Consider the following 19,558-nt stretch of genomic DNA (forward strand, 5'->3'; position numbering starts at 1 on the left):
ATTCAGTTCACTATATCGACTGAATTTCTCAATAGCCCGCAACCTTACCTTGCCGGATAAATGTATATTTTATGATGCCAAATAAAAATCTCCATTTTAAACCACCTCTGCAGATGGAAAGGCCCTGTCTTTATGCTGGTAAAAGAATGTCACAGCACATACCATTATAAACGCCACACGTAACCCATTCATCTCCTGAAATTTATGTCAGAAAGATTGGAAATAAAATCTATATTAACAGCAAGTGCTTAATATCAAATGCGGTATTAAAAATAACAAAAATTTTCATTCCTGTAATACTAAGAGGCTCTCTTAACTCCATTTAACAGACACACAGTGCCACCTATCAGCCATCCTCTGTAACTGCAGGTGCAAGGTAAAGAACCGCTCATAGACATGCCTTCCCCTCTCCCTGCTATTTACATGCCAAAGACCACCACAGGTTAAGAGGACAGCCCTATTAGAAGCCCCTGCTGTTTCTATATTGTGTTCTTGAAAAGTTTTACTTCCTTAGGAACTGGAGCTTTTTACTGCTGAACTGAACCCAGAGATTGCAATCCCAGCGAAGTCTGAACAAATCTATGTCTAAAATACGGGCTGTTATGATACCCAACAGTGTCCTAGGAGAAATCCAAGCCAATCTCCAGGTCCAGCCCTCAACAGCCGCCTGATGGGAAGAGACATAACAATTAATGGCAAATTTCTTACAAGGATTACCCACACGTCTTCTTTCCTCTAACTACCTCCTCTTCGGCCTGCAACTGCTGTGATTTGGCCTCTGCCCAGCTTCTCTCACAAGGCTGCTCACCCCTGTGTGGTGAACCCAAGGGCTACCTCTTGACCCTCATCCTGTGTGACCTCTCAGTGCCACTTAACAGGGCCCCCTGGCTTCTAGAGTTTTCTTTCTCTTCTCAGGCGACTCCTTCTTGACTTCCGTGACAGTTAATTTTGTGTGTCAACTTGGCCAGGGCACAGCACCCAGTGATTTAACCAGACACTAACCGAGGTGTTGCTGTCAGGGTGTTTTGTGGATGTGGTCAACATTAAGGAAAGATGACCCTCTATAATGTGGTTGGGCCTCATCCAGTCAGCTGAAGATCTCAAGAACAAAAACTGAGATTTCCTCGAGAAGGAATTCATTTCCCCGAGAAGGAATTCTGCCTGAGTTTCCAGCCTGCCAGCCTTCCTACAAATTTTGGACTTGCCAGCCTGAAAGCAAGCCAATTCCTTACATTTTATAGATAATGTAGAGATAGAAATAGTGGCCAGGTGTGGTGGCTCACATCTGTAATTCCAGCACTTTGGGAGGCTCGAGCCCAGGAGTTCGAGACCAGCTTGGTCAACACAGCAAGACCCCATCTCTTAAAAGAAAAAGAGATCGTGAGATACCCGCTATTGGTTCTGTTTCTAAAGAGCCCTGACTAACAATCTCTCTGCCCTTCTTTCTCTGCTCATCCTTAAAAGCCTGACCTTTCTGCTGGTTCAGGCTAAGGCCGTCTTGTCCTCACCTGTTACTCTCCCTTGGTGACATCCATTTGCAGACCTTTCATTTCTGTGAGCACACCTTTGGTCCTCAAATCTCTATGTCTGGCCCAGACCTGCAAAGCCTCCAACCTACAAATGCAACTCAACATCTCCACCAAACTAGATCTAGTCTTCCGCTGCCTCAGAAGGGTGCCCCGCTCCTGTATCTCCTGTCAGTAAATGACCCCCCACCCTCCTAGATAAGCAGCAAGAACCCTGAACCTTTTCCTCCCACTTGTCAAGCTCTCACCTATGCTCTGGAGCCTCTCTCCTCTCCCGGCTTCCTCCATGAGCCACCTACAGCCACTTCCCAATACAGGCACTGTCCTGCCTCTGCGTGGTTCTACAGTGGCCTTCCTAAATCCAGTCTCCATCTCCAATCCACATCCCCTGGTGCAGCCCAAGCACTTTTCTAGAACTTAAGTTGGGTCACATTACACTCCTGCAGAAAATTGTCAACGCCCTCAGGATAAAATCTAACTCCATGCGAGGCCCCTCCAGGTGGATATGCCTGTCTTTCCTCGGAGCCCCAGTTGGCAATGTTGGCCCCTGTGCCTTCCCCATAAGCCCTGTGTAATCTGGCCCCAAGCACATCCCAGGCTTCACACTCCCCATTCCCACATTCAAACATGAGGTCCAGGGAGGCTAAATTCCCTCCAGACCCACAGGATCGCGCTACTCTCCTTCACCCTAGTGCTGCAACACAGATCCTGCTGCTGGAAAACCCTTCCCCTCCCATGCTGCATTCCCTGAACTGACCAGGTCACACCAGCCTTCACTCCGACCTGAGTTGATCTGAGTCGTCCTGTAGGATGGCCGTCAGCCACATATGGCAATTTTAACTCACAAAAGTTAAAGTTTAAAAGGCTGTTCCTCAGCTGCACCAGTCACATTTCAGGGGCTCAGTGGCCACCCTGGGCAGCACAGAGACAGACACTGCCATCACCACTGAGCACCATTGGAGAGCACGGACTCGGATTCTCATACTCCTGTCCACACGGAGGCCCACCCTGGGCTCTTGCGGCTCTCCCAGCACAGCCCTGACATGCCCTGGCTGCTCAGCACCCGCGGTGGGACCTGGCGCTCTGCAGGTGCTCACTGACATTACTCGATGTTGCCACAGTGGCAGAGCTCCGCCATCCACATCTCCACCGGCCTCCCACGGCAACAGGTGTCTTAATGTTCTTGTGAGCTGGGCAAGTCAATGTCCAATTTCCAGTTGTTAACATCAGCCTTCCCTTCCCACTAAGACAAAATCATGCCATTTGGGGATTTATCAACAGGAAGCATCAAATAGAAGTTATGAGGGATATTAGTGTGGAACTGGGGCTAAAAGAGCAGAGCTCTGGAACCTTCTCTGCCCACTAGCCTGACCAAACCAGAGCAGCTACCTTTTTATCTGTTCACATATTATACTTCAACCAGGACTTCATCTGAATAAAATACCTATTTGAAAAGACAAAAAAACCAATGATATGTATTTTTTTCTGATTTTCTCTCTTCAAATACTAAAGGTATTTAAACATACTCTTAAACATTAAAAATTAAAAATAGAGCCGGCGCAGTGGTTCACGCCTATAATCCCAGTGCTTTGGGGCTGAGGCAGGATGATCACTTGAGGCCAGGCGTTTAAGACCAGCCTGGGCAAGAGAGCAAGACCTCAACTCTACAAAAAAAAATTTTTAATTAGCTGCAAGTGGTCGCCCACACCTGTAGTTCCAGCTACTTGAGGGGCTGAGGTGGGAGGACTGCTTGAGCCCAGGAGGTCGAGGCTGCAGTGAGCTGTGATCACACCACTGCACTTCAGCGTGGGCAACAGAGCAAGGCTCTGTCTCTAAATAGTAAGTATTTATTTATTTTATATCTATAACCCATTTACCCTGCAACATGCTTCTCTAGTTTAAAATGCATTCACATAATTATATATATTCAATTCAAGCAATTTGTTACAGAAAAATCAATCCCTTTGCTATAGCAGGATGTATTTACATCTGCTTCACAAACTTCATGAAGAGTTTTTAACAACTCCCAACCCACTGCTGGATCCAGACTGCTGGAGCAGGCTAAAGATATTTTATTGCTGGTCCCACCCTCCCTCCTAGGTTTGTTTCCCACTACCTTCCCCACCACCGTAGGCTCTGGCCAAAACAGGCACCGCAGGCATCTGCCCACTCTCCTTCTATCTGCGCTCATTATCTTCCCTCCACCTGGCCTGTCCACCCACCCCCAGCTCTGCAGGCCAAGCTCTCAGACTCAGCTCAGATGGCAGCTTCTCAAAGCCTTTCTTGATCCCCTCTAATTAAATGCAATCTGCCCCTTCTCTCAATTACCATAATTTGCATGATTCACTTTAATGACATTTAGCTTGTAGTGGTTCCCATTAGAGTTATTTCCGTATTTTTAGCTTTTTTATAAGCTCTTGAAGACAAGAACCGAATCATCTCGTACATACTTAAATCCCCTAATTTAACAACAGTGTCTTGTACCTAGTAGGTACTCAAGTACCTCCTGAATAGAACTGAGAAGTAGAAAGACATCCATTACATTACAAAGCAATTCAAATTGGCTTCCCCCTCAAGTAAAGCGTGCAAGTTACTAAACACTGGCTGATCCAAGAGTGGGCTGGCGCTGATGGCGGTTCTCAGGTTAGAAGCACATTAGAGTCACCTGGGAAGCTTTTACCATCCAGGTGTCCAGGCTCCACCCAGCCCAAGCCCAATTACATCAGAATCTCCCAGGGTGGGACCCAGACTCCGGTCCATTTTACAGCTCCTGGATGAAGCCCACGGTGGGCCCAGGCTGATTTTCACCTGCTCTCACACGGAGGCTTCCCCGCAGGCCCCACCCCTGTCATTCCTGGAGGCGGAACACATAAAGCAGATGTGTAAATACCCTTCTCATCTACACATCAGACGGAAATAAAAATCGGACAGATGATGGCTACTTTCATCTAAAAAAACTGTTTTGCTTGTTTAAAGATTCTGAATTTTTAGTCAAACTCACAGAAGCAGAGAGTGGAATGGCAGTTACCAGGTGCTGCGGAGTGGGGAGATGTTAGTCAAAGGGAACAAACTTGCAGTCAGAAGATGGGCAAGCTCTGAAGGCCTAATTCCAGCATGGTGAGTACAGTTAGGAAGAGGGTACGGTGTAGTGGAAATCTGCTGAGAGAGGAATCTTACATATTCTCACTGCACACATTGAAAAAGGTAGCTGTGTGAGGTGATGGATGTCTTCATTAGCTTGATTGTGGTAAGCATTCCACGATGTACATACCTGTATCAAATCATCACACTGTGCACCTTAAATATGCACAATTTTCCTGCTCTTGATGTGTGTGTGTGTGTGTGTGTATATATATATACACACACACACAATTTTTACTTGTCAATATACCTCAAAAATATACCTATTAAGTACTCATAAAAATTAAAAATTATATTTCAATAAAGCTAGGAGAAAAAAGCCCCACTGGCCCAGACGAGCGCCTCAAGGCGCAGGTGTGGCAGAGGGAGAGAGACGACCTCTTCTGAAGCCAAAAGCACATCTTCAGGGCACCCACTCTGTTGGTCTATGTGGCTAGCACAGCTGACCAAATGAGGCTGTGGAACCAGTGAAAGCACACAGGTAGCCGAGGTCAGGAATCGGCACCATCACTCCTGGAGAGAGGGCGTCTTACCCGGCAAGAGTGACCCAGCAGGTTGGAAGCACTGCATAGTGAACCAAGAGGAAAGGCACACCCCTAAGACACAGGAATGCGCGGCCGTCCAGAGAAAGGTGACTGCGTGCTCTGCAGAAGTATTTGCAGCATGTCTTCTAACCAGAACAGTGTTTTAGAATTATTTTTAAAAACCCACAGACCTACTGATCTGTGCACTTGCTAACACAGACGATTCGGGGCATGCTCTCCACCGCACTAAGGAGCAGGAGTTACAGAAGGGAGCGTAGCAGGGAGTGCACCGAGCAGGAGCGAACCTCGTCAGTGCAGCTTCACTGCTCAGACACTGCTTCTGGAGGGACCCTACTCCATCCCACACAGCGAGAGTCCGTCTGGGAGGGCTGACGGCTTCCAGAAACCAAGTCAGCAGGAGCCCTAGAGTAGTGTGTGACTCTACCCTGGGCTGTGAGCAGAGCTCGGCAGTGACTCTTCCACAGTCTTTCCTAAAGGCAGCACTGACTTGCTGAGGAACTAGCAAAGGCCACGCCTCAACATGCCCCGCCTGAGGAGGGTCCGCAGATAATTATCACAGGCCAACCCGGACAGTATTAGAATGAGGCTTCCATAAGTAACTCCTCACATGTCTACAACAGGCTCTCTCCTGCTTTTGTAAATAAAACTTTATAGGAACCCAGCCACTCCTAGTCGTTCAACACGGTCTTCGGCTGCTCTGGCAGAACTGAATAAATGCAGCACAGACCATACGGCCTGCAGAGCCAAAATGATTCACCATCTGGCCCTTTACAGAAAAAGTTGGCCAACTCCCGGTCTCATATCACCATGGGGAAAAAAAACACTACAGCAGCTGTTACCTGGCAGGCTAACGCACAGAAACGGGCATTCTTAGGCCTCAATATTAAACTTCAACTTAGTCATCAAGACCCATACTTTGGAAAGAAGTCCCTTTCTTCGTGGCTACATGAGAGGCAGTGGTGCCCACCAAACATTCTATCACCCTCCCGCTTCCAGTGCCCGGTGGAGGCTGGCCCACGTGACGGCCCGGGGAGGAGGGGTGGAATGGCGCACCAGCTGTCTCCTCCCCGGCAGCGGGGACCTGAGGCGATGTGTTCCAGAAGGGCAGCCACAACACGGTGGTGGAGCCTACTGCCGACCACACCAGACGTGAACCACGTGCAAAGAAATAAACCTTTGCTGCTAAACACTGAGATTTTGGATTAATTTTTATCGTAACATATTCTGGTCTACTCTAACTTAGGTGGCAAAGGAGGTGACCTCCTTTGTGTCTCTCCTTTCCCACAACGGGGTATAGAGTTCAGCTATGTGACAAACGAGAAAGCATGGCCAGCCCCAGGACATTCAATCCTTCCACCTCTCAATCCTACATGAATTCTCTATCACTTGCAAGGCACTCATAACACTGGAGAGGTCCTGTTCAAAAAAACCAAGACGGCTGAGGGAAGACAGGATTTATTCTGCACAAACTTGACAGCCAGGGCCAAGCTACACCCTTCTGAAAGCCACAGAGAAGAAATGATTATCCTAGTGACAAAGTGGTCAGGGACAGGGTTTCCCTCTTTGAAGAATAATCTTGCCGGCTATGGTGGCATGTTCCTGTAGCTACTTGGGAGACTGAAGCAGGAGGATCGCTTGAGCCCGAGAGGTCGAGGCTGCAGTGAGCTGTGATCACGCCACTGCACTCCAGCACGGGCAACAAAAAGAAGAATCCTCTTCCCTCCGCATTTTACATAATTTTCAGTGTGATGCGGTGGGAAAAGCATGAGTTTTCAAAGATGCGGGAAACGGGCTTAAAAGCCAACCGTGCCACTTGGCAGCCACATGATCTCACCTAGCACATAACCCAGGCGCCTTTCGCCACCTTTTCCCAACTCTGGGGCTCAGTGTCATTATCTACTAAATAAGGGGCTCCATCTACATGGTCTCCAAGACCATCTCTGCTCCAAAACTTCTATAAAGTCCAGGGAGCTAAACTGTCAAACAAGAAAATTCCCACCCCGTGAGGAGCAATCTGTAACTGCTGGCAGTTTCCTCTGCTTTATGATGGGATTAAGATTGAACAGTGTTCCCTGCTGCTGCTTTCACTGATGAGGAGACACAGCTAATGTCAGGCGGGATTGAAGTGGGAAGGACATGACCCGCTAGCTTTCTTCATTTGCATACTCCAGTCTCTTTCTAGTTCCCCTTTCTTTGTATTTTGTATTAGACAAGTGTTTAAGAATATGCAGCAAAAACTGAACTGTAATTTGTTTACACCCTCAAAAGTTATCTAAACAGAAAAAAATTTTAATTATAAAAAAATCTTAACAGTAAAATTTCAAACAACTTTAAAACACAAAATGGAGAAAGTAAAAGTTATCCATCATTCCACCCCAAAGATATTTTATTTACTTTAAGAGTTTAGCATACATAATTCAAAAAATACGCAAACTATATATTTTATATAAAATGAAATATATGTAAATTTTACAAGTTCCTTTTTCACTTCATATATACTATAGCTATCTTTTCATCTGAATTTATATTGATTTACCTCATTCTTTTTAAAAGCTACATAGTATTCCACGGCACAGGTGACACAATGCTGAGTGCTGTCAGTTGAGCCTGATTCTCTTCTCTGTACAATTCAGCGACCTGAGTCTGAGTAAGGCGAGTGAGTCATGCCACTGAGCTGACGGCGCGACTCACTCAAGCAAAGACTGATTAAAGGTGCAGGAAGGCTAATTGCCCATCACCTCCTGCTCACCATCTCAGGCTGTCAGTAGGATTTCTTTTTACTCAATAATCATATAGACTAGATTTTCCTCATTCCAGGTTTCAAAATTCCCTGAAATCTAAGAATTTTGAAAAAAATCATAATAATACATGAGCATATTCTATCTGACTGTCCCATTTTGGGCTCTAACCTCTATGTGATGACACCACATTGGCACCAAACCCAAATATGCATGAAACGAAACCAATGGAATTCACGGAAAGCATGGAGGAGGGCATCACTCTTACTTTCCATCGATATTTGTGGCTAAAACTGTCCACCTTAAAATATATCTTGTCAGATAAAAATAAAATATATTTACAATACTGAAATACTTCCAGTTGGCCGGGCATGGTGGCTCATGTCTGTAATCCCAGCACTTTGGGAGGCCAAGGCGGGTGGATTGCCTGAGCTCAGGAGTTCGAGACCAGCCTGGGCAACATGGTGAAACACCATCTCTACTGAAACACACACAAAAAAATTCGCTGGGCGTGGCGGCGTGCACCTGTAGTCCCAGCTACTCAGGAGGCTGAGGCAGGAGAATTGCTTGAACCCAGGAGGCGGAGGTTATAGTGAGCTGAGATCGCACCACTGCACTCCAGCCCGGGTGACAGAGCAAGACTCCGTCTCCAAAATAAAATAAAATAAAATAAAAATTCTAGTTAACTGAGTCATATTTCCATTTTCTCTTACAATTATATTGTCTTTAACAAATCCTATGAAACAGAAGGTGAAACAGGGATATTTACTAGTAATAGACAGTAATACCGTCTTCTAAGAATTATGGGCCTTTAATTGTGGAATGAAATCAAAGTACCTTACCCATGCAGCTCATACCTTATACAGCGGACGCCGCACATCGATGGGGCAGTTCTGTATTACTTCATCAACAACATCTGAGATGGACTCCATAGAGTCTGGGTTGGCAAACTGAATTGTATATCAATATAAAAGAAACATTACACATTTCTCTCAAATAGAACAACATGAACACTCCTTTAAAGTAACTTTAACAAATATACAATTTATTATAACTTAAAAGAATTCACATTGGAATGAAGGATATGTCAAATGAATCCCATGTGACTACGTGTGCGTGGGGTGGTGATGACACATTTCTCCTCATGAGGTAAAATGTATGGATTTAGTGAAGAAAAAATACCAACAACATCACAGACAGACCACCCCCACCCCATGAATACACAGTGATTCAGTCTACTAAGAGCAGTGGAGAGTATGTGCACGATCTACGTGACACGCAGTGAGAAACATGACTTTGACATATCATTTGACAATATTCGTATTATGAGAAAATTAGGATATAAGGAAAAAGAAACAGGTTCAATGAAAGATTAATTAAACCTGGTCTAGAAGATGCAGGGAAGTGTTTTGTTTAATGAGAAGGGTTTGTTTAACATGAAACAATCCACATGATAATCATGTTATTGAATAAACAGCCATAGATTCAATTCCATAAGTTAAATAAGCTAAAGTATAACGAATTCAACTCAATTACATTTCATTTGAAATATTTTAAAAATCAAAGTAAGCTTGAATGTGCACTCTCAGAGGAAGGAGGAGGATATTCAGTTGCTCACCAGCTGTTCACTGGACATTTGACTGTTCTATGTCCATTTCAAATCAATACTATTAAAAGTGAGCATTCACTAGATTATCATTGTTATTATTTTATTCTTCAGATTACTAGCGAGGAACACATTCTATGCTATTTCTCTGTACAAAATAGTCATATACACATCTAAAAACAAACAGCAGTTTGTAACCCACCTACTGAATATAAACTGAATTAGCCAGGAATATATACCAAAATATAAATAAAATGCATTATATGTAAATCTTAAAATGTGCCTCCTAATTACTGCTTTCTGCAAAAGTACTAATAATTCCTTATGACTACTAGTTAAAATGATGACATTTCTAATTCTTAAGATTATCTAAATAATAGAAATGCTGGCCTTAGACAGAAGCTTTACCTAACTTGCAGCAGGGAACAGAGCAGGACCAACTGTCCAGGGTTAAAATTAGAAGTTAGGAAGGGCAATCACCAAAGATAGAAAGGTTACATATTATCCCACTCTTATGCACAGGCAACCTCCATACAGGCCTTGAGAGTAGCTACTTGTAATGCTAGCATGTGACCACCCACAACCCTTGGAGATTACTTTTAATTCTATTATCATCTATCGCTCCTAAAAGTCTTCCTAACTATTTGTGGTATAACCCATCCTTAACTATTAAAACAGATAACCAGCTCTACGGAGAGGCAAACTGAACAATCTGTCAAGCAGACAAACTGCATGGGGGATGCAGAGAGACCGAATGACGGCCACCCTGCTCACAGGCCCTTCGCTGGGAACTGCTCTTTCTACACTCTGGGTGGCAGTATCGCTCCATCCCACACTTGAGCACACAAAAAAAGAAACACCTTACCTCCGGGTGAAAGAATATTTCAGGTCCCAGGAATCTTTCGTAACCAACGTCTATAACAAACTTCTTCTGGTTGATCGCATTGATACCCGTGTACTGTTTGATCCACTTCTGGGGATCCACATCATACTTGGCAAATTCCTTGACTATATCGGGGCAAATGTAACAGTATTTCTCCTGCATACACACACAAAGATGTTGCCAGGCATTAACAACTGCCCAGTGTCTCTGCCCTCAGACAAATAACCAGGAAGCCCATGCAGTAAACACACCCTGGGATCAGAACCGCCCCCACCGTTACTCTAGTGTGGATATGCATCAAGCCTCACATTCCATCGTCTTTCATGTTAGACATGGTTACACTTGGACTTCGGACAGGTAAGTCTGCTTTCTCTGCAACTCAGCTATTAATCTCAGCCTTGGTCTATCCAATTCTATCGCTATCATATCTGAAATGATGTCTACAGGTGTCTAGAAAGCACCTCGTCTTGCCTTGTTCCTCTCAGATGCCTCCTATGGCCTGCTCTGGCACCTCACTGTGGTCCACACTGGACCAGTGGACCCGTGCTGCGAGCTCAACTACCGAGTGCGGCACTGTCTACACCCTAAACCTGACTGTAGAGGCTTCTTTGGGTCCCATTTGGGTCCCAGCATGCCACAAGCCGGGTGGCCACTGTCAACCTGCTGGTTGTTAATCTGGTGTGGAGCTGGCCACAGCACTGTCATCAGCTCCACTGACACCATCTCTTTGCCTAGAGACAGTGTACCTTGTTGACTGGGTATTCTAAGTCCCTCAATCAACATAGATTTATTGTCTAGGCACTTGGGATACACAAGGTAGCGAAACACACAGATCCCTGCCAAGATTACACTCTAGCTGGGAGTCAGAAAACAATAAGCAACCATAATAAGTAAATGACATGGTAGGTTATAAAGTGATAGGTCCCGGGGAAGAAAGGAAAAGCAGAGTCAGGTGGGAGGACTGAAGCCGCCAGGATGCTGCTGCTGCTGCTGCTGCGAGAGAAGTCGCTAACGATTCCCACCCTGCACCGACAGGCAGCCTGAGGGATGCGAAGTGTTTCATGGGTATCTGGTAAGATGAATGTTCTTGGACACCTTTGTGTTGATATGTGTCCTTAGAGCTGGCCTCAGCATAGCAGCAGGTGACCCCCAGATACTTGCTGCCTACAGGAAGCACGAGGTGGGCCGCCCAGCTGGCGCTGAGCACACTGTGGAAGGAATGGCTCTCTCAAGGACCTCCAAAGACGCTCTCGTGGTATTAAGTTTAAAGTTTCTTAGCATCCCTGAAACATATTCTAATGCCATCTTCTGGGTATCTTGGATATACTCTAGCGGAATTTTAAGAAGACTGACAGGCAAGAAGTGCTACACAACCCTGTGTTCTTTGATGACACAGAGCAACAGGGTCAGCTGATTACAACCTCAAATCTACCAAGACTGGAGACAAAGGCATTCAGTTCTCCTCACAGGCCTGGTCAACATCCTACAGCATCTCAGCTTACTTAACTCAAATGCTTCCTAGGAAATGTTTCCATTGAGTTGGGTGCAGAGTAACAGGCTTAACCTTAAGGTTCAGGATTCATGCTGCAAGGTTGGTGTGCTCACGTTACACACTCCCTCAGGCCTGTTCGCGACCACAGAAGGCCATGGCAGTAAGGGGAAGCGGGGGGAGCTCTAAACCACGCCTTTCAGGATCTGTTCCTTCAAAGAGAGAAGTCAGGTGAGAACTAACAGGGCTACCCCACAGAGCAGGGCCAGGGCAGCTGATTCGGAGGCTACGAACAGTCTCTTTTACTCCCAGCCTTCACTGGGGGGAGACACATAGTCACATCGAGCACATCAGCCCAGATTTCAGGGTCCAAATTGGAACCCCAACAGCCCGTGAGGAGAGTTGAAGGCCCAGCATGAGGGTCAGGAAAGCCCCTCCTTGGCAGTGTTGCTCAGCAATCCTGGCGGAAATAGGGAGGACTCAGACTCACTGGAGTGGACCCTGGGCGTCAATAACAAAAGGCTCAATTCTTTTTTTTTTTTTTCTTCTTTTTTGAAATAGAGACGAGATCTCGCTATATCACCTGGGCTAGTTTCGAACCCTGGCTCAAGCAATGCTCCAGCCTCAGCCTCCCAAAGCCCTAGGATTATAGATGTGAGCCACTATGAAGGGGCTCAATTCTGACTTACATTTCTAACAGATTTGGAGTGGCAAGGGAGCTTGGATCAAATAGTCAAATATTCTTCCATGGAGGAAAGGCAAAGAAAGGAGAAGGTAACCCCTTAGGAAATATTTTAGTCTAAAAAAGAATATCTAATGATACCTCAGGAAACCTTCCCCTGAGATGGAAGGGACCACGTCTTCCCCACATCACCATTTCAGCACTGAGAGCCCCCTTCCCAGGAATCTCTGGTCCCAGGTAAAGCAGGGCAGGTCATACCCAACTGCAGAGCCTGCCTCATGCCAGTGCCTCCTGACCTAAAAACACCTCGGGAATCATCTCTGGTGCTTCCTTTCCTTCAGCCAGCCTCAGTTACGAGGTGCTGAGAAGGGAGGAAGGCAGTGAGGAGAAGTGTGGGTGTCAGGCTCACCCCCATCAAGCTCTGCTACACTCAGTAACTGTGCCATAAAGGAAGAAGATGCTTATGGCCACATGTCACAGCCACACCTGTGTGTGAATTTTGTGCAATAGCTCTGGATCCTAGGTTGGCAGTGTTCTGCTGCTGTGGTCGCCTCCTGATTCTACAGCGAAGCATGGAGGCAGTATGGAAGGAGCGCTCTGGTAGATGAGGCTCCAGCAGTGAGGCTCCAGCTGAACAATGCTGCCTCTGCACGCTGGTACGCTGTACCAGCTACCAAGCTGTTCTCAGTGACAGCTGGAACCTCAGAGCATCTAGTTTGGAAGAGGTTAAGCTTTACATCTTCAGCCCACTTAAGGGGTAAAACAAATCAAGCCCCACACTCATGGGAAGGGGAGAGGATGGAAAGGAGGGGCAGGGATGATGGCACCAAGGGGAAGTGTCCAGAACACCATCTCTCTCACCCCCAAACCAGCCGGTTTCCCATCTGTTTTTACCTTAATGGCTTTTGCGGTCTCCAGTGACTGCTCAGGAGGGATTCCCACCTCCCTCTCCCTTAGCAGCTGTTGAATGAAATACGTAATATCTCTACCTGCAATCGGGATGTGTTTGATGCAGCTTCCAATTACATAACCTTCTGCCTAGGGAAGAAGAGGAGGCAGAACAGCTGTGTTAGTGATTTCGTGGTGGAGAGCAGCCTGGACTCACGAGGTTTCCTGCCTCAGCCTCCCTGTCTGCCCCTCACGGCACTGACAAGCATTGACAGAATCCCCACCCTCTGCAAGCTCAGTACAGAAGGTCTTTCAAAAGGACTGCATATGCAATTCCATTAATATTCAAAATTCCAGATTATTCCAATAACCTGACACTCTCCAAAAGCAACCAAAATGATTTCATTAGGAATATGAAAAGAAAAACCACATAAGATAGTTCATTTCCAAAAAGAAATGCTGTCTGTAAGAACACTAAACCCAATAGGTTCTTTCCCTAACAAAAAGGAAAAAGTTTTATTTATAAATTGTTAAGCCAACTATAAATCTACTTACGTTTAAAAGTCAGCAATTTGGTTAATACACAGGGCTTAGATTCTAACAACCTGGACTCAAATCCCAGCTCCACATTTGCAAGTTTCACATGCTTCAGCCTCAGCGCGTTTGTCCATCGTATGAGGCAAACAATACCCTGCTGGGGCCAATGATACAGTTCAGATGAAACTGCGTGTGTCGAGCACACAGCACTGGTTTTGGGGGCTGGGAGCCTCTCATTCCACTGCCTCCCTAAGCCAGTGAAGGCATGTCTGTGAGGGGCCAGGAAAGGAGGGTGACCACGACCTGGGCCGATCAATGGCAGGGCCAGTGTCAAGTGTCCACATGCCCACAGCAATGATGGGCCCAAAGCTCCCTCATCAGCCTTCCTGTGGGCACAGACCTGCCACAGGAGCCACAGGCTTGGACACACATCCAGCTTGTTCTACAGGGGATGAGCAGGATGCTGACCGTCAGAGTGGACAACGCCCACCGCTGGATCATCCGGTAAAGACACTCAGGTTTCACGTTACAGCACATCACAGCTTCTGTGCCACAGTCCCCAAATGAGACAGAAGGGAACAGAAGTGAAACGCTGACTTCATTTTACAGATGTATTCATTCTAATAGCTGCATCTAGTCACCAGTAAAGTTGCAAGAACAACTTACTGAATTCCTCCTATGGTTTCTTTCTGATATACCTAACTTCCAGAAGCAAAAAAAGATTTAGCCTTTCTGCAGAGTCCAAGTATTTGTAAAGTATTTTAAGATGGAGATAAAAGTATAAATTACTAAAACTCAACTTAAACCCATAAAAATAATATTAGCTTTCTAACACATAAACTATTCACAATTACTATATTCTATGCATTACACATAATATTTTCTAAAATACTGTTAAATAAATATCAGCTCATGACAGTGGTAAAAATATTAAAACAAGATACATGTCCAACAACAGAAAAATAAATTATGTACTTCTTAAATGTATTTTCACAGAATATTTAACCACAAGAGAAAAAAACTAGGGTTAAATTAATACGCAAAATATAACCTTAGGATTGTATTATATGTACAATCCCAAACCAGACATGAGACATTCCAATTGTGTTTAAAGTGTGTGTGTGTGTGCATGCATGCGTGCACACACGTGTCTTAGAAAAAGAGCTTAGGCCGGGCATAGTGGCTCACGCCTGTAATCCCAGCACCTTGGGAGGCCAAGACAGGCGGATCACCTGAAGTCGGCAGTTCGAGACCAGCCTGACCAATATGGAGAAACCCCATCTCTACTAAAAATACAAATTAGTCAGGCATGGTGGCGCATGCCTGTAATCCCAGCTACTCAGGAGGCTGAGGCAGGAGAATCGCTTGAACCTGGGAGGCAGAGGTTGCAGTGTGCCGAGATCGTGCCATTGCACTCCAGCCTGGACAACAAGAGTGAAACTCCATCTCCAAAAAAAAAGAAAAAGAGCTTAAAGACTATACGGCTAAAAGTATAATACAGGTCTTTGGGCGGCTTTAAAGGTAATTTTATTTCTTCAAATTTGTCTATTTTATCCAAATTTTCAATGACTAATGTAATTTTTATAGCTGGAGGAAAAACTGAACTAAGATACGATTAAAAATCTTTTCAAACAACTTTCTTAGTGGGCCTGGACACACTGTGAAATGTATTTTCTTTCCTTTTCCTAAATCAGACATAAGAAATAGGCAAAGAACCAAAGGGGGTGCAGGCCAGGGGCCTACGGGGGCCTCATCTTGGATCTCAGCAGCGCAGTTCTCTGAGGAAATGGCAGCCTGAGTTCTCGGTGAGTGCTCTGCACCCAGGGCACTAACTCTTCTCAAGATCCACCGAAAGGAGTGCTGAGACTGGCTTGAAGGGGGCTCAAGTCTAGAGCACACTTCACAGGGCAGGGCAGCCACCTCTCCTCCCCACAGGAAGGACACATAGCCAGGAGTACAAGGTATGGGGGCGGGAGGCTGGCTTTTTTCTCCCTGACTGTAGGCCCATCGACCATTAAGCCTTTCCTCTGCAGTGATACCTAACCTTCAAGGAATTAAAGGCATTGGTATTAGTACATCACCCCATCACCTTCTCAAAATGAAATGGTGACCATTTTTTCAATTAAATTAAATGATTTTTGAAAATCCTAATTTGCATTTTAAAAGAGCTGTGTGTATGTAAATATATACACAAACACACCCCCCCATATACATATGCAGAAACATTATCTGTAACATAACAGAAGTAACTAGCAATGGTGGTTCCTGAGGAGGAGACCTCAAAGGAGAAAGACCAGGATGAGTCTGACTTCCCTCTGAATACCCTCTTCAGACACTTCTGATACATTTTCCAAAAAAAATGAATTTAAGATAATTCCTTTAAATAGTCCATTGGACCAAAAGAAAAATTCAGAGATCTCTTGAAACCCAAATTAGGAATCACTTCTCTGAAACCAAAAAGTGGTATTGCAGAGCCTTCTGCAAGCCAAAATGTACAATCTCCCCTTCTTGGCTTTTAAATTTTTTTTTTTTTTTTTTGAGACGGAGTTTCGCTCTTGTTGCCCAGCTGGGGTGCAATGGCGCGATCTCGGCTCACTGCAACCTCCATCTCCCGGGTTCAAGCGATTCTCCTGCCTCAGCCTCCCAGGTAGCTGGGACAGGCATGCGCCACCACACCTGGCTAATTTTGTATTTTTAGTAGAGACAGGGTTTCTCCATGTTGGTCAGGCAGGTCTCGAATTCCCGACCTCAGGTGATCCGCCCGCCTTGGCCTCCCAAAGTGCTGGGATTACAGGCGTGAGCCACCGCGCCCAGCCCTTAAATAAATTTTTAAAACAAAAAGCAATTTTTCCAAGCTTGAGCTGGTTGCCATTCACATCTTTTCAGAGAACACAGATGTGCTCCTTCAAATGGCCACGCACTGCACCTACAAATTCAACATCCAAAACGGTGTCTATCTCCCAACATGTCGGAATAACCCCGGAAAATGTTCTTGTTGATGTTACACCCACGGGGATCAAGCAGAGGCTCTGAAGATCCAGAGACATCCTGGACATTCTCTGACATTCTGACTGTAAAAATATGCCACCATGAATTGAAAATTGCCAAAGCCACAATAATTGGCCATCCTTTTCATTCTTTCCCACATACTTGGGGAATTCCTTTATATAAGGTGGCAAAAAATAAAAAACTTTTATTATCTTTCTAAGTACAACTATCATCTAAATTGTATTTTCATTACAGAAGAGGTTTTTTTTTTTTTTAATTTCCATCCTTACCTCGAATCAGGTGTTAAGCCTACAGAGACTTATATATTAACTATTCTGCTTACCACTGGGATAACATGGGTGACTCCATCTCCGCTGTCAATGACTATCCCCGTTAATGTACGTTCACCCACTTGTCGAGATGTCCAAGATGCCGCCAAGGCCAGCACTGCCTGGAGAAAAGACATGAAAACCGCTCGCACATAGGAACTCTTTCTAAAGCCACCTGCCTGCTCCTTCCAGGTCCAATCAACAAACTCTCTTACTTAATATGTCTGAGTAACTCTTTCCTTTTCCTATCCATCCTCTAACCCCTGTCCCTCAAATTCCAATTCAAACTTGGACAACTAACACGAAAATGTTGAGTACTTACAACTATAGGAGTCAAGTTTTCAATAAAGAAACGTGGCTGACTGTGGTGACTCATGCCTGTAATCCCAACACTTTGGGAGGCCAAGGTAGGCAGATCACTTGAACCCAAGAGTTCGAGACCAGCCTGGGCAACATGGTGAAACCCCATCTCTACAAATAATACAAAAATTAGCCAGGCGTGGTGACACGCACCTGTACTCCCAGCTACTCGGGAGACTGAGGTGGGAGGATCCCTTCATCCCAGAAGGTCGCAGCTAGAGTGAGCCATAATCGCACCACTGCACTCCAGCCTGGACAACACAGTGAGACCTTGTCTCAAAAATAAAAAAAAGAAAGAAAGAAAAAAAACTAAGGTTTTACAAAGAAAAGCCAGTGAAAAAGATATTTCATTATAGAATCATAAGATTTTAATTTCTACTTCATTGGTTTCCGGCGTGGGGCCACAGATTGGCAATGAGGTCACTTGTGGCGTTGTTTAAAATACAGATTACTAGGCCTCACACCCAGAAATTCTAATCTGGAAGGTACAGGGTAATTTTTCAACCAAAGAAAATGTTGCCCCAAAGGGAACATCTGACAATATCTGGTACCATTTTCTTCGTCGGGGCGGGGAGGCTTGAGGTGGGGCTGCTGTCTTCTAGTGGGCAGAGGCCAGGGATGCCGCTACGCTCCCCGCAATGCACACGGCGGCGCCCACAACAAAGGACTACCCAGCCCAAAGCACTGAGGGTGGAAAACCCTGGTCGAAGACGAAGCCCAAAATCTGTGCTTCTAAAAACATTCTCCAGGTAAACTTGCTGCACAGACCACTTTGAGAACCACCAGTCTTATGTCTCCTGAAGTGTTTCCCTAGGCCATGGAATATAAGTAACTTAGCCAGGGGGAAGATCTGTAGTTAAATGAATTTGGAAGTGCTAGAATACATAGATTTCGACACAGGAATGCTCAGAGCCTGGACTGTGCTGATAGGCACTGTGAATCAGCCCGAGAAAGCTGCAGGATGCAGCATCGCCCAAATTCATCTTTCTATGGAACTTTTCCTCCTCCTCCTCCTCCTTAGAAGTGACTAGTATTATGCAGAAAACATTTGGGCAACACCCATCTCATTTATTCCCCAAAATTTCAGTCAATTCCCTTACATAAGGTGGCAGGCAAATAATGACCAAATGCAACCAAAAAATATCACACCAAGAACCGCAGCTTCAGAACAAGTTCTGCGAGCTCATGAAAACACAGGGTCCCTCAGAATCAAGTACACTGGGACTCATAAGAGCCCAAAATCGGAAAGGGGAAACCTCTAAAGGTAATTATTTTGTTTTTCTGATCAAAGTCAAAGATGCCAAAAGAAGAAGCACATCTACACCTATATCTTGTCACCCAGATAAAAATGCATGAGACTTTAATGCATGTAAAAAGAGCCAGACGACGTCTATACCAAAAAATGGCATCAATATAAAAAGAAAAGTCATGGGACACCTTCCCTATAGTCCTGAATGGCATGGGGACGGGGGAGGGAGTGGAAAAAGGAAGGGCACACAGCGCAGTCTTCCAGCGGAGAACCTTGGGAAATACCATTTCTTCCGCTACTAGACAGCTCAGGTGCTTTAGGAATCACAAACATAACTGGTTTTACCTGAACTGCAATGTAGAGTCCTGGAACGTTAAATGATTCGAACATAATTTCTGCAAGATACTCTCTGTTTTCTGGTGTATTGAGTGGAGGTTCTGTCTGTAAGAAAACATTCACTATATTTAGTGTTTACCCAAATTTCATGTAAATACATCAGAACCATAAACAGGTTAACCTGAAAGTATGTTAGCGAGGACATTATACAATTCCCTAATTTTACAGACAGAGGATGCCCAAAGTGTATTAAAGAAATCT

General features: G+C 45.1%; 1 protein-coding gene across 17 annotated transcripts in view, besides 3 other annotated features; it reads right to left on the reverse strand.

Moving 5' to 3' along the window:
• Positions 1–19,558, reverse strand: part of ACTR3C (actin related protein 3C) — a 442,186-nt gene that overhangs the window by 394,586 nt on the left and 28,042 nt on the right. For 15 of the 17 annotated variants that reach the window (XR_007060145.1, XR_007060143.1, XR_007060144.1 and 12 more), the window contains exons 2-6: positions 19,307–19,402; positions 17,367–17,474; positions 13,505–13,648; positions 10,422–10,595; positions 8,808–8,900 (exon numbers count right to left, since the gene is read on the reverse strand). Coding sequence is in view for 10 of the 17 variants with exons in the window: in XM_047420749.1 (XP_047276705.1) it covers positions 8,808–8,900; positions 10,422–10,595; positions 13,505–13,648; positions 17,367–17,474; positions 19,307–19,351 (564 nt within the window). In the remaining 7 variants the exon portion in view is untranslated. The remainder of the gene's footprint in view (positions 1–8,807; positions 8,901–10,421; positions 10,596–13,504; positions 13,649–17,366; positions 17,475–19,306; positions 19,403–19,558) is intronic. The other 2 variants (NR_147012.2, NR_147013.2) reach the window with 2 other exon arrangements.
• Positions 3,715–4,299: an enhancer, noted in NCBI's record as "NANOG hESC enhancer chr7:149976749-149977333 (GRCh37/hg19 assembly coordinates)". NCBI's record gives its function as "activates a minimal SCP1, AML or CMV promoter by ChIP-STARR-seq in naive H9 embryonic stem cells {active_cell/tissue: H9 hESC(naive)}" and the evidence as "EXISTENCE:reporter gene assay evidence [ECO:0000049][PMID:30033119]".
• Positions 10,555–11,056: an enhancer, noted in NCBI's record as "H3K4me1 hESC enhancer chr7:149983589-149984090 (GRCh37/hg19 assembly coordinates)". NCBI's record gives its function as "activates a minimal SCP1, AML or CMV promoter by ChIP-STARR-seq in naive H9 embryonic stem cells {active_cell/tissue: H9 hESC(naive)}" and the evidence as "EXISTENCE:reporter gene assay evidence [ECO:0000049][PMID:30033119]".
• Positions 11,057–11,556: an enhancer, noted in NCBI's record as "H3K4me1 hESC enhancer chr7:149984091-149984590 (GRCh37/hg19 assembly coordinates)". NCBI's record gives its function as "activates a minimal SCP1, AML or CMV promoter by ChIP-STARR-seq in naive H9 embryonic stem cells {active_cell/tissue: H9 hESC(naive)}" and the evidence as "EXISTENCE:reporter gene assay evidence [ECO:0000049][PMID:30033119]".

The sequence above is a fragment of the Homo sapiens genome, chromosome 7 (assembly GCF_000001405.40).
Source record: "Homo sapiens chromosome 7, GRCh38.p14 Primary Assembly".
In the NCBI taxonomy this organism is placed as follows: Eukaryota; Metazoa; Chordata; class Mammalia; order Primates; family Hominidae; genus Homo; species Homo sapiens.